Source organism: Homo sapiens, chromosome 10, assembly GCF_000001405.40.
Source record: "Homo sapiens chromosome 10, GRCh38.p14 Primary Assembly".
Classification (NCBI taxonomy): Eukaryota; Metazoa; Chordata; class Mammalia; order Primates; family Hominidae; genus Homo; species Homo sapiens.
Window position 1 is genome coordinate 102,568,120 of NC_000010.11, and position 16,136 is coordinate 102,584,255.

At 45.5% G+C, this 16,136-nt stretch overlaps 1 protein-coding gene and 1 pseudogene across 12 annotated transcripts in view; one reads left to right on the top strand and one right to left on the bottom strand.

Annotated features, from left to right (window-relative positions):
* The window catches only part of SUFU (SUFU negative regulator of hedgehog signaling), a 130,717-nt gene that overhangs the window by 65,301 nt on the left and 49,280 nt on the right, over positions 1-16,136 (top strand). The gene's annotated exons all lie outside the window — the stretch shown is intronic.
* Positions 4,518-5,125, bottom strand: RPL23AP58 (ribosomal protein L23a pseudogene 58; annotated as a pseudogene).

A 16,136-nucleotide genomic window follows, 5' to 3' on the forward strand; every position in this document is an offset into this window, starting at 1 on the left:
AAAAGGACATTAAAAAAATCCAGGCAACACTGAAAACATAAAGAAACCTTGTCGCAGAACAATGGGTAGAGTGGAGTTTCATTTTTACTTAAAAAAAAAAAAAAGTATGACTTTGATTATACATGCTGAAAAGAAAGTCTTAAAGACTGCATATCAGATGTTAACAGCAAATGTTAATAGCTGAGAAATGGGACTGATGGGAAAAGAGATTTTCATGTTTTACTTTATACATTTCTTTGTTGTTTGACTCTCTTATAATAAGCCTATGTTACTTTGTAACTTAAATAAATATATGTTGAAAACAAAAATAAATATTATGCTGCTGAGACAGCCATTTTTATTTGGTTACTATCCTTCTAGATATGTCTCTATACAAAAAATAGGCAGTTGTACTAAGTACTGTATATATTAACATGCTTTATTCACACAGCATCATGTCATGGAAGTCTTTCTAGCTAAGTAACTATAGTTCAGCCGGGCACAGTGGCTCACGCCTGTAATCCCAGCACTTTGGAAGGCCAAGGCAGGTGGATCACCTGAGGTCAGGAGTTCAAGACCAGCTTGGCCAATGTGATGAAACCCTGTCTCTGCTAAAAATACAAAAATTATCTGGGTGAGGTGGCGGGCGCCTGTAATCCCAGCTACTTGGGAGGCTGAGGCAGGAGAATCACTTGAACCTGGGAGGCGGAGGTTGCAGTGAGCCAAGATTGCACTATTGCACTCCAGCCTGGGCGACAAGAGCAAAACTCTGTCTCAAAAAAAAAAAAAAAAAAAAAAAATATATATATATATATATATATACACATATATATATATATATATATATATATATATATATATATATCTATAGCAGTGCTTGTAATTGTATGGCATTTCATTGTATGATACTAACATAACAGGCCCCTCTAGGATAAATAGACCCCTCTGGATGAACTTGCAGATAGTTTCCAGTTTTCCCTATTTTAAACAACACTATAAGATTGTTGCCCATATATGAACATCTTGGCAACTGCGTCCAATTATCTCAGGATCAGTTTCTAAAGTGGGATTGTGGGTCACAAGGTCCGCAGATTTTACAGTTTGGCACATATGCCCAGCTCTCCTTTTGAAGGTGATTCCACTAGGCAGGGTGGCCCCTGCCGCGGCTGCCACTGTGTTCTCACCTGTAGTCATGGCCATTTGGCAGTCCAGGCACTGAGGAAGCACTGTGTAGTCTTTCAAGTCCGTAAAATAAGACACAGGACTCTTCCCACTCTTGATAGCTTTAAAGCTGGCCGTATTCCAACATTAAGGAAGTTCTTTGAGGCTGGAGGCCCACAGGCTACTCAGACTCTGTGGCTCTTGGAAAGCCCTGCACTACCTGAGTTCACCCTCACAACTCAGTCCCTTCTCTATCTCTCCAAGCAGGTAGAAATGTCCTGGAAGAGTCTGGCCTGAACACCAAAAGGGTTCACTAATGATTTATTGCTATCTCTTCCTATAATCAAATCACCCAAAATTGGTTATCTAAACCCCTTTCCTGTATCTGATTGGTAGGGAAACTTTGAAATTTGGGCAGGTACATAGACGGCTGAGGGGCTGTTCTTTATACAGATACTCAGAGGTAAGTGCCTGCCTCATGTCCGTCTCTGACCCAACAGCCCCTTCTGGGTGCAACATTCAACAAGGGATTTAAACCAATCAGAGTGTGTCCAGAGAATGGTGGCATTCAAACTGGCAAAACCTTTCAAAACTGTCCATCTATGAGGAATGACTATAAAAGTGAGGTAACTGGAAATATTCTAGTTTGAAGACGAAAAGACTTTGAGATGGAATATGTAGGGAGTTGAACTATGACCCACAACAGGTATTTAAAAATAGCTGAGGTCTTCCCATATGGAAAAGGGATTTGACTTTTTGTTACTCAGAATAGAGAGCTAGAAAGCTGTTAACTCTTCATTGGGATGTAGAAGAATTTCCAAATGTGGATAGGCACTGGGAGGCAGTAAACTCACCATCCCTGAAGTTTTCCTAGTCGTCTGGGCAGTTGCTGGCCCAGGCGCTTGTAGAGGGGATTTAAGCGCTGGGTGTGCAGTTGGTGATTTGGGAATCTAGATTGCCGAACCGAGAGAATATTTATTTATTTATTTATTTATTTATTGAGACGGAGTCTTGTTCTGTTGCCCAGGCTGGAGTGCAGTGGTGCAATCTCGGCTCACTGCAACCTCCGCCTCCCAGGTTCAAGCAATTCTCTTGCCTCAGCCTCTCAAGTAGCTGGGACTACAGGCACACGCCACCACGCCTGGCTAATTCTTATATTTTTTAGTAGAGACGGAGTTTCACCATGTTGACCAGGCTGGTCTCGAACTCCTGACTTTGTGATCCGCCTGCCTCGGTCTCCCAAAGGAGACCATTTATTAATGCTGGGGTTTTTTTAGTTTTTTGTTTGTTTGTTTTCTAATCGGTATTTTTGTGACCCCTTCTTCTGTGTTCCAGTCTGGTTTCTTGCAAACAAGTCCTTCCCCCTTCCTCTTCTCGATGCTTCCCAGGTCCTCCAGGTCTGACCCAGCTGGGTGACTTCTGAGAACATCCATAAGTACTATAGCTGTGCTTCTTGGTGTAAACTAAGGCAGGAAGAAGGGAGTTAGTTTCCTAAGCTGAAAATTAGAATCGTGGCTCCTCGAAGAAAACATCTGCTCTTCCTATGTGGGTGGATTCTATGTCTGTGTCTCAGTTCTACTGGATCCTTCTGTCTTCATTTCTTTTTGTGTAAATAGTGGCCATATTTTCCAGTGGTCAGATCTTTCAAATGAATAGCAACTGTTTAATTTGTACAGTATTTTCAGTACACAAGGCAATTTTTACATATTTTGTTTTCTTGGATTCTAAAAAAAAAACCAAAACCTTCAAGGTGTACAGTATATCATCACATCATGTTTTGGTAGGTGAAAAAACAGATGCAGAGAAGTTAAGTGGCTTCTTCAAGGTTACACAGTAAGAAAATCGTATCAGAGAATAAAGCTAAGAGAGGAGACTCTTAACTAGAGGATCTGATTTTGTCTTGAACAGGAGGGTATACATAATACATTTTGGGTGACTATTTGCACCCATGACCTGATAGAAGAAAAATAGTCAGTACTAATAAGTAACGGTTTCACCTTACACTAAGATGGCCAGTGACTGAGCTAAAGAGAAGTTAGTGTTTCATTAATTTATCTTTTTTTGGGTTGCTGGGGATGAGGCCAACCAAAATTCTCTCTGGGTTAAAAGTTGATGTTTAAGGAGGCCGGGCACAGTGGCTGACGCCTGTAATCCCAGCACTTTGGGAGGCTGAGGTGGGTGGATCACTTGAGGCCAGGATTTCAAGACCAGCCTGGGCAACATGCCGAAACCCTGTCTCTACTAAAAAACAAACAAACAAAACAAACAAACAAACAAAAAATTAGCCAGGCATGGTGGTGCACACCTGTAATTCCAGCTACTTGGGAGACTAAGGCAGGAGAATCATTTGAACCTGGGAGACAGAGGTTGCAGTGAGTCAAGATTGCGCCACTGCACTCTAGCCTGGGCGACAGAGCAAGACTCTGTTTCAAAAAACAAAACAACAACAAAAAATTAGTGGCTTAAAACCCAATTTCTGTGTGTCTCAAGTTTGGACACAGCTTATCTCTAGGTCCTCTGGCCAGGGCCTTGCAAGGCTACAATTAAGGTGTTTACCATGCTGCATTCTTTTCTTTTCTTTTTTTTCCTTGTTCATATACAGGCTGCATTCTTATTTGAGGCTCCCCTGGAGAAGAATATGCTTCCAAGTTCCGTCAGGTTGTTGACAGAATTCCTTTCCTTGCAACTTTAGGATTCAAGGCAGCTTGCTTCTTTAAAGCAGCAATGGAGGAAGAGTCTGACGTTTGTGTAGGGGTACAGTTCCCTTTTAAAGGGCTTTTACCTGTTTCAGTCAAGTCCACCCAGGAGAATCTCTTTTTTTCTGAGATGGAGTTTCACTCTTGTTGCCCAGGCTGGAGTGCAATGATATGATCTTGGCTCATTGCAAACTCCGCCTCCCAGGTTCAAGCCATTCTCCTGCCTCAGCCTCCCGAGTAGCTGGGATTACAGGCACCGGCCACCACGCCTGGATAATTTTTTTTTTTTTTTGTAATTTTAGTAGAGGACGGGTTTCATCATGTTGGTCAGGCTGGTCTGGAACTCCTGACCTCAGGTGATCCGTCTGCCTCGGCCTCCCAAAGTGCTGGGATTACAGGTGTGAGCCACCGTGACCGGCCTCTCCCCTTTTTCTTTCTTTTTTTTTTTTTTTGAGACAGAGTCTCACTCTATTGCCCAGGTTGGAGTGTAGTGGCGCGATCTTGGCTCACTACAACCTCTGCCACCCGGGTTCAAGCAATTCTCCTGCCCCAGCCTCCTGAGTAGCTGGGATTACAGGCACCTGCCACCACACCCGGCTACTTTTTGTATTTTTAGTACAGATGGGGTTTTGCCATCTTGCCCAGGCTGATCTTGAACCCCTGACCTCGTGATCCACCCTCCTTGGCCTCCCAAACTGCTGAGATTACAGGTGTGAGTGAGCCACCATGCCCAGCCTTTTTTTTGTTGTTGTTATGGTGAAAAGATATACATATATTTAGAATTACCCAGCTGGACTCAGTTTAAATGATCCCAATTTTGTTGGCAACATCCAAAGCATCGTAATCAGGAGCCAGTCCAACATATGCCTTCTTCTCTCCATCACGCTGAATCAGGGTGTTGACCTTGGTCACATCAGTGTCATAGAGCTTCTTCACAGCCTATTTGATCTGGTGCTTGTTGGCTTTAACATCCACAGTGAACACAAGTGTGTTGTTGTCTTCTATCTTCTTCATGGCAGACTCAGTGGTCAGTGGAAACTTGATGATAGCATAGTGGTCAAGCTTGTTCTCCGGGGTTGGTCTTCTGAGGGTACTTGGGCTGCCTCCAGAATCGCAGTGTCTTGGGCCGCTGGAAGGTAGGTGACGTGCGGATCTTCTTTTTTTTGTGGCTGTGGACACCTTTCAACACTGCCTTCTTGGCCTTCAAAGCCTTTGCTTTGGCTTCGGCTTTAGGAGGAGCAGGAGCTTCCTTCTTTGCTTTCGGCACCGTCTTGTGAAAAGGGCCTCCATTTTAATTAACACAAAATCATCTACTTTGGCCTCACAGCCGTTAGAATGGCTACTATCAAAAAAAGAAAAAACAAAACAAAACAGAAAATAGTATGTTAGCAAGCATGTGAAGAAATTGGCACCCTTGTACACTGTTGATAGGAATGTAAAATGGTGCAGCTGCTGTGGAAAATGGTCTGGTGCTTCTTCAGAAAGTTCAAAATGGAATTACTGTATGATCCAGCAATCTCACCTCTGGGTATGTGTCCAAAAGAATTGAAAGCAGGGACTTGAACAGATATTTGTGCACCAGTTTTCATAGCATCCAAAAAGTGGAAGTAACTCAAGTGTCCATCAACAGATGAATGGGTAAACAAAGTATGGTATATACATATAATGGAATATTACTCAGCCTTAATAAAAGGAAGGAAATTCTGCCACATGCTGCAGGCTACAACATGGATGAACCCAGGAGACATTATGGCAAGTGAAATAAGCCAGACACAAAAAGACAAATATTGTATGATTCCACTTACATAAGGTACTTAGAGTAGTTAGGTTCATAGAGACAGAAGGCAAAATGTTGGTTTCCAGGGGTTGGAAGCAGTGGAATGGGGAGTTACTGTTTACTGTATAGAGTTTCAGTTGGGGAAGATGAAAAAAAGTCCTGGAAATGGAAGCTTCTTATGGTTGCACAACAATATGAATGTACTTAATGCCACTTAAAAATGGCTAAATTGGTGAATTTTATGTTGATGTATTTTACTACAACTAAAACTGAAAAAAAAATTAATAAATGATTTGGGATGTTACTTTACATCTTTAAAATATCTTTACTTTTGCCATATTCTGTTAGCAAGAAGCAAGTTATAGGTCTCGCCCACACTTGGGGGAAAGTATTAGACAGGGCTTGAGTACCAAGGGGATTGGGGACCATGGGGGCACCTTAGAGTCTGTCTGCCACATTTCCTAAAACTCAGAAGCAAAATAAAACAAGTGAAATTCACAGCATACCAAATTGGTGTCAAAACAATATACAGAGATCTTAAACTATAGTAATTTGTCTGTATATCCCTAATATATACACAAAGACAGAAAAAACTGTTTTCAGTAATCATGTTGTTAATAAAAATATTGACTTTAACCTAAAACTAGTATATGGATATAATAGGATAAAGCAAATAAGTAATTATGTTAGAAAGCAAGATGTTCAGCATAAGATTAGAAAGATACAAATATATGGCCAGGCGTTGTGGCTCACATTTGTAGTGCCAGCTGTTTGAGAGGCTAAGACGAGAGGATTGCTTGAGCCCAGGAATTTGAGCCTGCAGTGAGCTGTAATTGTGCCACTACACTCTAGCCTGAGTGACACAGTGAGACCTTGTCTCTAAAACAGTAATAAAATAAATAAAAGATACAAATATAAAATCAAATAAGTAAAAATGTTATATTCTTAAATTTGGATTCTAATTAGCAAGATGAACAAAAGATGTGTTTTCTCTTTCTTTTAAAAAAAATGTATTTTATCTTCGTCACTAAAAAAGCCTTGAAACAGGCCGGGCACAGTGGCTCCTGTAATCCCAGCACTTTGGGAGGCCAAGGCAGGCGGATCATGAGGTCAGGAGTTCAAGACCAGCCTAGCCAATATGGTGAAACCCTGTCTGTACTAAAAATACAAAAAATTAGCCCGGCATGGTGGCATGCACCTGTAGTCCCAGCTACTCAGGAGGCTGAGGCAGGAGAATCACTTGAACCCGGGAGGCGGAGGTTGCAGTGAGCTGAGATTGAGCCACTGCACTCCAGCCTGGGTGACAGAGCAAGACTCTGTCTCAAAAAAAAAAAAAAATTAGGCATGGTGGTGTGCCTGTAGTCTTAGCTACTCGGGAAGCTGAGGTGGAAGGATTGCTTGAGCCTAGGAGGTTAAGGCTACAGTGAGCCATAATGGTGCCACCACACTCCAGCCTGGGAAACAGAGCAAGACCTTGTCTCAAAATTTTTTTAAAAAGCTAGCCTGGTTGAAAATGCCAGTGGTGCCATTTTAGTTGCCAGCCAAGGATGGCTCCTAATGTTCTAGTCCATTTTCTGCTGCTTATAACAGAATATCTGAAACTGCTAATTTATAAAGAAAAGGAATTTATTTCTTACAGTTATGGAGGCTGAGAAGTCCAAGGTTAAAGGGCCCCATCTGATGAAGGCCTTCTTGCTGGTGAGGAGTCCCTGCAGAGTCCCAGGGACATCACATGGCAAGGAGGCTGAACTTGCTAGCTCAGGTCTCTATTCTGATAAACCCACCAGTTTCTACCCCCATTGTCCACCTCTGTGATAATCCATTAACTTATTAATCTATATATGAGGGCAGGGCCCACATGACCCAATCACCTCTTAAAGGCCCCACCTCTCAATACTGCTAGATTGGAGACTGAGTTTCAACATACCTTTTGAAGGAGGCAGACATTCAAATCATACCACCTAGCTTCCTGGCATGTCCAGATTAGTGCCACTGCATTTGGAGTGATGCCACAGTAGCCAGTGTGATGGCTGCTGGTGCCACATAGCAGAGGGGTCAAGGAGGAGGATCATCTTTCCAACATTAAGTATATAGATAATACATAAATAAATTTCAGATTTTTTTTTGGAAACGGGGTCTCTGTTGGCCAGGCTGGAGTGCAGAGGCGTGATCTTGGCTCACTGCAGCCTCAACCTCCCGGGCTCAAGTGATCCTCCCACCTTAGCCTCTGAGTGGCTGGGTCTACTGGCACATGCCACCATACCCCGCTAATTTTTCTGTGTTTTTTTTTTTTTGTAGAGATGGGGTCTTGGTATGTTGTCCAGGCTGGTCTTGAACTTCTGGACTGAAGTGATCCACCCACCTCAGCCTCCCAAAGTGCTGGGATTACAGGCATGAGGTACTGCAACTGACCTCAGATGTTAAAAACTTAGACTATACAGATAAAGTCAAAGTTCTCTGTGACCACCCCACCCAATCTCAGGGCCCTCGCTAAAGAAACCCTCTTTATCCATTTGGTGTGCGTCCTTGCAGCTTGCCAGATTTTTTTCTATGTATTCACCTTCTTCTGGGTACCTATGAAATGGTTTGGGTTTCTATGTTTTTTTTTCTTTCTTTAATGTAAATGAAACTGTACTGCCCTTCACAATTGGATTTTTCAGTTGACGGTATGTCTTGAAGATCTTTATTTAATTTTTTTTACTGTTGTCTGTGATTTTATTGTATGAATAAACCATAATTTAACTATTCCCCTGGTGATGCACCTTTAGGTTGTTGCCATTTTTGCAGTATTACAAACAGTACAAAGATGCAGTGACCATCCTTATTCATTCCTCCTTGTGACATGTTTTGCTCTAGGGTAGATATTTATAAGTAGAATGATTGGGTCAAAGGGAAGTTACCTTTTATATTAATAGATTCTGCCATTTGGTCCTCCAAAGTGACCATACTAGTTTATAGGTCCATGGCAACTAAATGTTTTGTTTTGTTTTGCAGTGACAGGGTCTTTCTCTGTTGCCCAGGTTGGAGTGCAATGGTACAATTATAGCTCACTGTAACCTGGAATGCTTTGGCTCAAATGATCCTCAAGCCTCAGCCTCCCAAGTAGCTGTGGAACTACAAGTGTGCACCACCATGCCTGACTAATTTTTAAATTTTTTTGTAGAGACAGGGTCTCACTGTGTTGCCCAGGCTGGTCTTGAACTCCTGGTCTGAAGCGACCTTCCTGCCTCAGCTGTGGGATTGCAGGTGTGAATCACTGTACCCAGTCTAAATGGGTTTTCATTCCTGATTTAACTGGTCTCTTCAGGAAGAAGATGGGAGGAGTAGAAGCATGTCCTGGATTTTTTCTTTTCTTTTTTTTTTTTTTTTGAGATGGAGTCTCACCCTGTTGCCCAGTCTGGAGTGCAGTGGCACCATCTTGGCTCACTGCAACCTCCGCCTCCCAGGTTCAAACGATTCTCCTGCCTCAGCCTCCTGAGTAGCTGGCATTATAGGCGTCCACTAACACGCCAAGCTAATTTTTGTATTTTTAGTAGAGACAGGGTTTCACCATGTTGGCCAGGCTAGTCTTGGATTTTAAAGCTTCAAAGGATTTCCTGGGATTTTTTTTTCTTGTTTCTTTTTTTTTGGAAATGGAGTCTCACGTCTTACTCTGTCACCCAGGAGTGCAGTGGTGTGATCATGGGTCACTGCAGCCTCCCTCTCCCAGGGCTTAAGTGATCCTCCCACTTCAGCCTCTGGGACCACAGGCATGTGCCACCACACCTGGCTAAATTTTGTATTTTTTGCAGAGGCAGGGTTTTGCCATGTTGCCAAGGATGGTATCAAACTCCTGTGCTCAAGTGATCCACCTACCTCAGCCTCCCAAAGTGCTAGGATTACAGGCGTGAGCCACTGCACCCAGCCCTCCTGGCATTCTTTGGTTGAAATGTATATAGGACTACGAGTTGTTTTTTTTTTTTTTTTGAGACGTAGTCTCGCTCTGTTGCCCAGGCTGGAGTGCAGTGGCACGATCCCGGCTCACTGCAAGCTCCGCCTCCCGGATTCACGCCATTCTCCTGTTTGAGCCTCCTGAGTAGCTGGGACTACAGGTGCCCACCACCATGCCCGGCTAATTTTTTTGTATTTTTAGTAGAGATGGGGTTTCACCATGTTAGCCAGGATGGTCTCCATCTCCTGACCTCGTGATCTGCCCGCCTCGGCCTCCCAAAGTGCTGGGATTACAGGCGTGAGCCACCGTGCCTGGCCAGGACTACGAGTTTAAAACCTCCTTAGTCCCTTTGGCTTTAAGAACAAAGAGGCTGGTGGCTCATGCCTGTAATCCCAGTACTTTGGGAGGCCGAGGCGGGTGAATCACGAGGTCAGGAGATCGAGACCATCCTGGCTAACATGGTGAAACCCCGTCTCTACTAAAAATACAAAAAAATTAGCTGGGCGTGGTGGTGGGCGCTTGTAATCCCAGCTACTCGGGATCGCGCCACTGCACTCCAGCCTGGGCGACAAAGCGAGACTCCGTCTCAAAAAAAAAAACAAAAACAAAAAACAAAGAACAAAGAGGCTTGGGGCCAGGCATGATGGCTCATGCCTGTAATTCCAGAACTTTGGGAGGCCGAGGTGGGTGGATCACTTGAAGTCAGGAGTTCGAGACCAGCCTGGCCAACATGGTGAAACCCCATCTCTACTAAAAATACAAAAATTAGTCTGGGTGCAGTGGCACCTGTAACCCCAGCACTTTGGGAGGCTGAGGCGGGTGGATCATAAGGTCAAGAGATTGAGAACATCCTGGCCAACATGGTGAAACCCTGTCTGTACTAAAAGTACAAACATTAGCTGGTCATGGTGGCGCGTGCCTATAGTCCCAGGTACTCGGTAGGCTGAGGCAGGAGAACTGCTTGGACCTGTGAGGCAGAGGTTGCCGTGAGCTGAGATCATGTCACCGCACTCCAGCCTGGCGACAGAGCAAGACTCCGTTTCAAAAAAAAAAAAAAATTAGATGGACATGATGGTGCGCGCCTGTAATCCCAGCTGCTCGGGAGGCTGAGGCACGAGACTTGCCTGAACCTGGGAGGCAGAGGTTGCAGTGAGCTGAGATGGCACCACTGCACTCCAGTTTGGGCAACAGAGTGAGACTCTGTCTCAAAGGGAGAAAAAAAAAAAAGAGCAAAGAGGCTTGGGCTCTGCCTTGTGTGTAGGTGGCAGGCCCTCGTGCTGGTGAAGGAGAGAGGAACAAGGGCAGGTCTTGCTCAGTTACAAGCTTGTGGGCAGAAGATTCTGCCTTCTCATGCTGACAGGTGTCTAAACAGATGGAGCTGCTTAAAAAGAAAAGTGAAGGCATCTGCTAGATTAGGACTTCAGGCTCTCTCTAAGGGGTAAGCAAGGACCTGTGTACTTTACAGGTGGGCATAGCATATATGGGTGAGTAAATGAGGTTTGACTAGTGACAGCTACAAGCTGTGGCCAGGTGAACCCTCCTGAGCTCTGTGGGCAGTCAGGGTCCTCACCCTCATTGGGGGGAGAATGAGGCTGTCTGCTGTGTGCCCTGCCCATGTGGGCACAGGGTGAGTGTCAGGTCCACAGTCTATCTCTAGCTAGCGAAACTGCATCAGTCCAGTTCTGAAAGGTTTGCAGCCCCCTACACTCGCTTTGGGGTGAGAACCTGCAGGGTCTCTGGCAGCCCGCCAGCCTCCCACCTCCCCTGCTGTGACTTGTATTCCAGTTTACTGAGCATCTCTGCTTATAAAGGGATTTTCCTTACACTTCACTGTTTGCCTTTATGATTGCGGCTTTGAGGGACAGGAAGGAAGCTGAAGAGCGGGCGGTTCTGGAGAAAATGCATAGGGAAGCAGTTTTGAGTCTCCTTTGGCTAGCTGTGCGATTCCTTTGATTCCAGGCAAAACCTGGAAGGAATAGCCTTTACATTTCCTTTCAGTTTTGCAAGAGCAAATATGTCTTCTCTCAGTCTTCTTTAATCAAGTGGGACTGCGTATTCATTTCCCGTCTCCATGTCTTGCAACCACATTTAGCCAAATTAATATCAGACAGAGCTAGCTGAGGGAAGCTCTCAAACCAAACACTCAAATGAACTTTTCAAGTGATAAAACTGCATCCAGAACTTTGAAAAGGTAGGTGGGTGAGGGTAGGGGTTAATTCTTGCTTCTACCACATGACCAAGTTGGGAAACTCTACAACTGGTCACCATCTGCGCCATTTGACCAGCTATGAAGAACTTTACCTTCTAGCCCCAAGAGCTCCTCAGCCACATGTACAGAGAATCTGTTTTGGGTCTCCTCCCCCGCACCCCCCCCCCGCCCCCAGTTTGTTTGCTTTGTTGTTTTTTCTTTCTTAAAGAGAGTTTCTGTCTTTCCCCTTCTTTGGAGTTTGATTGGAAGCCCTGCAGAGGGGCTGTTGAGCAGTCAGCCATGTTCCTGGGATTATCCTTCCTTTGGAGCATCTGTCTGCTGTGCACTGTGTTGGGAGAAAGGCAGGGGTGCGAAATTCTGTTGGTTTGTAACAAATTGTAGCTTCTGAGCTGGGGAGTATCCCATCTTTTCCTCTCCTTGCAGGAGGTCCACTGTTAAAGGGGAATTACGCAGGATGTGTTTATTTTTTTTGCTCCTACGCTGTTTATACATCATTGTATTCAATTTCTGTCCCAGTTCCTAGTGTGGGCCTTGTCTCAAGACTCTGCTGCAAGGTTTCTGTCCTAGTTCTTAGTGTGGGTCTTGCGTCATTACTCTGCTGTAAGGTTCTTTGGCTTGGGGAGGGGGTATGGAGCCGGGTAGGCAGGGAAGTGGAGGGAGGTGCTCACTCTCAGCTTTATTTGGATTCCTGGAGGAAGGAGAGTTGCTGTTACCAGGAAAAGTCAGTGTTGATCAGACAAGAAGAGGATCTGCTGCCTTCCTTTGGTGGGTGGGTACTGTTAGGTTGAGGGAGAATTTGCCTGGAGGAGGCTCTGTGTCTTCCTGAGGGCAGTGCCCTCTGTACAGTGCCTGGGGTTACTCCTCCCTAAAATGAGGGTAGCATTGTGCGGGTGTGCTAAGGGCTCCAGAAATGTCATTTGTGGCTGTGCTACACCCTGTGGCCTAAAACTTTGTAGGCTTTTCATTTCTGGCAATAGACTAGGCACACACATCCCTATTCTCCTCTCTGGTCTAGAAATTAGGCTTGGGCTGGGCGTGGTGGCTCACACCTGTAATCCCAGCACTCTGGGAGGCCGAGACAGGTGGATCACTTGAGGTCAGGAGTTCAAGACTAGCCTGGCCAACATGGCAAAACTCCATCTCTACTAAATACAAAAATTAGCTGGGCATGGTGGTGTGTACCTGTGGTCCCAGCTACTTGAGAGGCTGAGGCACGAGAATCACTTGAACCCAGGAAGTGGAGGTTGCAGTGAGCCGAGATTGTGTCATTGCACTCCAGCCTGGGCGACAGAGAGAGACTCTGTCTCCAAAAAAAAAAAAAAAAAAAAAAAAAAAAAAAGAAGAAGAAGAAATTAGGCATGGGTTTTAGAAATTAGTATGGGCTTACAGAGAGATCCAGTGGGGGCAGTAGGCAGACTGAGTGGCCCCCATTAGGAGCATCTGGGCTGGGCAGAAGCCAACAGGACTAACTTTGAACTTTATTTCCTTCACTGCCTCAGCCAGAGATGTTTTGTTCAACAAAAACTCCAGATTTTCTCCTCCTCTCACTGGGGAGTCATGAAGCTCCCAGGCCTGTGTGGACCTGTAGTTCTGCCCCCGTAAATATATTTCTGCTCGTGGGCCTTCTGTTGACTTGAGAAGGAGCTGTCTTCCAATCTCAGAGGAAGCCTCCTCTGGGCCCAGCTCCGCTGCGCAGTCCACCATGGCCGCAGCAGTAGCAGCTTGAGCCTTCTCAGGAAGGAGGGCGGGTTAGGCAGTTGCCAGTCTCCCCACAGGTGTCGGCTTCATCCTGGGACTTCCAGATATGGGGCATAGGCTAACTGAACCTTTCCTCCTCAGCAGTCTGTGTTACTGGGGACATGTCTGGCACATCTGACATTTTGGGAAAGAACTGCTAAGCCCCCCTAGGACCAGCTCCGGGTGTTCACAGAAGACACTTAAGCCCTGGTTATCAGAATGATTTGTGAACACCAGAAATGCAAGAGGAGTGGAGATTTTTTCTTGAGAGATTATGATGGCTGTGCCATTGTCAAATATTTGACCTCCAAGTTGACAGACCTGAGTCTCCCAGCCTGCTTTGGGTCACCTCCCATTTTCCTGCTCTCTCAAAAACACCTCTTGCAGACTAGCCACTCCTGTGACACCTGGCACAGTCCAGCTGCGTTTCCTGCCCTTGTTCTCTGTCCCTGGAAAGCACGGAATAATCTCAGAGCACGCAGAAGAGCACCTGGAGAAAAGGGGCATTTGGCTTTCACAGCGCCAAGCTTCACGCTCCTGGGCTCCCAAAGGGAACATTAGTCCCCGCTCCACAGACCAAGCATGTTAATTCTGACCCTGGGTTGGGGTGTTAGTTTCCAGGCTATTATGTAGAACATCACGGGGCCTGTACTTTTGCACAGAAGGGAGGCAGGCTGGCACTGTCTAGAGTTAGGATGAATTAAGAACTCTTGAAGAATGTATTTGTAAGAACTCAAGGAATGTATTTGCTTCTATGTTTCAAAGGCAGCACTATTTTACAAACAATAGCTGTTTTCTTCTGCAACCCCTCTCCCTAGATTTTGCTAACTTATTATATCCGGGACAGTCCAACTTCAAACCACCATAACTGAAGCTGGATGTCAGGGAGGTGGGGGTGGGGTGATGGCCAATTGGAGGAGCCAGTAGGATTCTGTGCGCCTGTTCAGCACCCCCCACGTTTTCAGAGTTCTTGCCCAGGAGTTGTTTGTTAATGGGGAATGAGACGTGGAGGAATGAAATCTTTCTCCCAAGTGAGCAAGGTGTAGAACTGTAACTAGCATTTTTGGCGGGGAGGGGAGAGACTCCTTTTGCTATCCTGGAGTGGTATTTCCCTTCCAGTGAATTTGCCAAACAACATAAAAGTCGGGTAGCTGAGGGAGGTTTCTCCTGGTACCTGGGGGCAAAGCTCCAAGGAGGGAAGGGAATAGAAAGTGTCTACCCAGCCCTTACCTGGAATGGCGACGTTCTTTCAGACACTGGGTGCGGGGGAGCCTCTGCTGTGTGGTTTAAGTGGAGGTCTCTGGGATTTTCACCCTGACTTTTCAATGAGGATACCTTGGGGAGCAAGAGAGAGGAAGCCAGCTCCTGTAACCGCTGGACTGAACAGCTGGGCCTCTAACTGAGACATTATTAGCATTTGAAAGCCCCTCTGAAGGGGCCAAGAGCTTCCCAGGGTGGGCGCAGGGGCCTGAGTGCTGAGACCCCACAGTGGCTCCAACAGAATGGGTCTGAGCATCCAGGGCATAAAGACCAGACCGGACTCAAGAATGAACTCATTGTGGCTTTGTCCCATGCTTGAAAACTGTGACCAGGGCTCTTTCATTGTTAAGAAAGACCATTTCTTGTCCACAGAAGAGCTCATAAGTCTAGTTCCTTCATCAGGCAGAGCTGCGGAAGACCCTGCCCCTCACTAGAAGTTTCTGTTAGTGTCCTGCTCTCCAAGCATTTCTGATGGAAGTTGCACTTTCTGCTCCCCACTTTAACTCAGGAGTACCTTTGGCCAAAGCCTGATCACACATGCTCAGGGTGGAACGTGTTGATCCTAGAGCAACACCTGGGCCCGACTCCCTTTTCTTGCCTTAGAGTCTCCCTTTCCCAGCTGCCTAAATTAAGCCTCTTCCCAAGTTATTAAGCCTGCACAAAGTGCTTTTTGGTCATTCTGGTTCAAACAGTTTGGGTTTGCACAGTATTTTAAAATCATGTTAATTCTGGTTAATAAAAGGTCAAAGGTCATGGCTCCAAATCTTTCCAGCCTTTTCCCTGTTTCCAGCCTAAATAAATCCCCACCCGGTTTGGGGTATGTTTCTTTTTCTTTTTTCTTTTTTTTTAATTGTACTTTAAGTTTTAGGGTACATGTGCACAACGTGCAGGTTTGTTGCATATGTATACATGTGCCATGTTGGTGTGCTGCACCGATTAACTCGTCATTTAACATTAGGTATATCTCCTAATGCTATCCCTCCCCCCTCTCCCCACCCCACAACAGGCCCTGGTGTGTGATGTTCGGTTTGGGGTATGTTTCTACAGACTAGACATCAGATAGGGATGCAGAGCTCCAGGGAACTGGCCCATCTGTTTCTTAAACCAGGAGCAATGGTGCCACCTACTGGGCACTTGCTGGTAGCGACAAGCTCTGTGGCCAGTCCTGTTTTCTGGTGACTTGGGTGAGAGTATCTGTACTGTATTCCAGTACACGAGTAATAACATACTGCAGTAGAAAGCATATTGAGTAGGCACGCTATTTCCTGTTAACAGGCTTAGATACTGTGTTTGGGCAAGTTGCCCAGGGTCACATCCAGTTAGGGATGGAGGCAAATAGAAACAGGGCCTTCCCAACTCCGAAGTTCACCACTAAGCCAGGGTTTG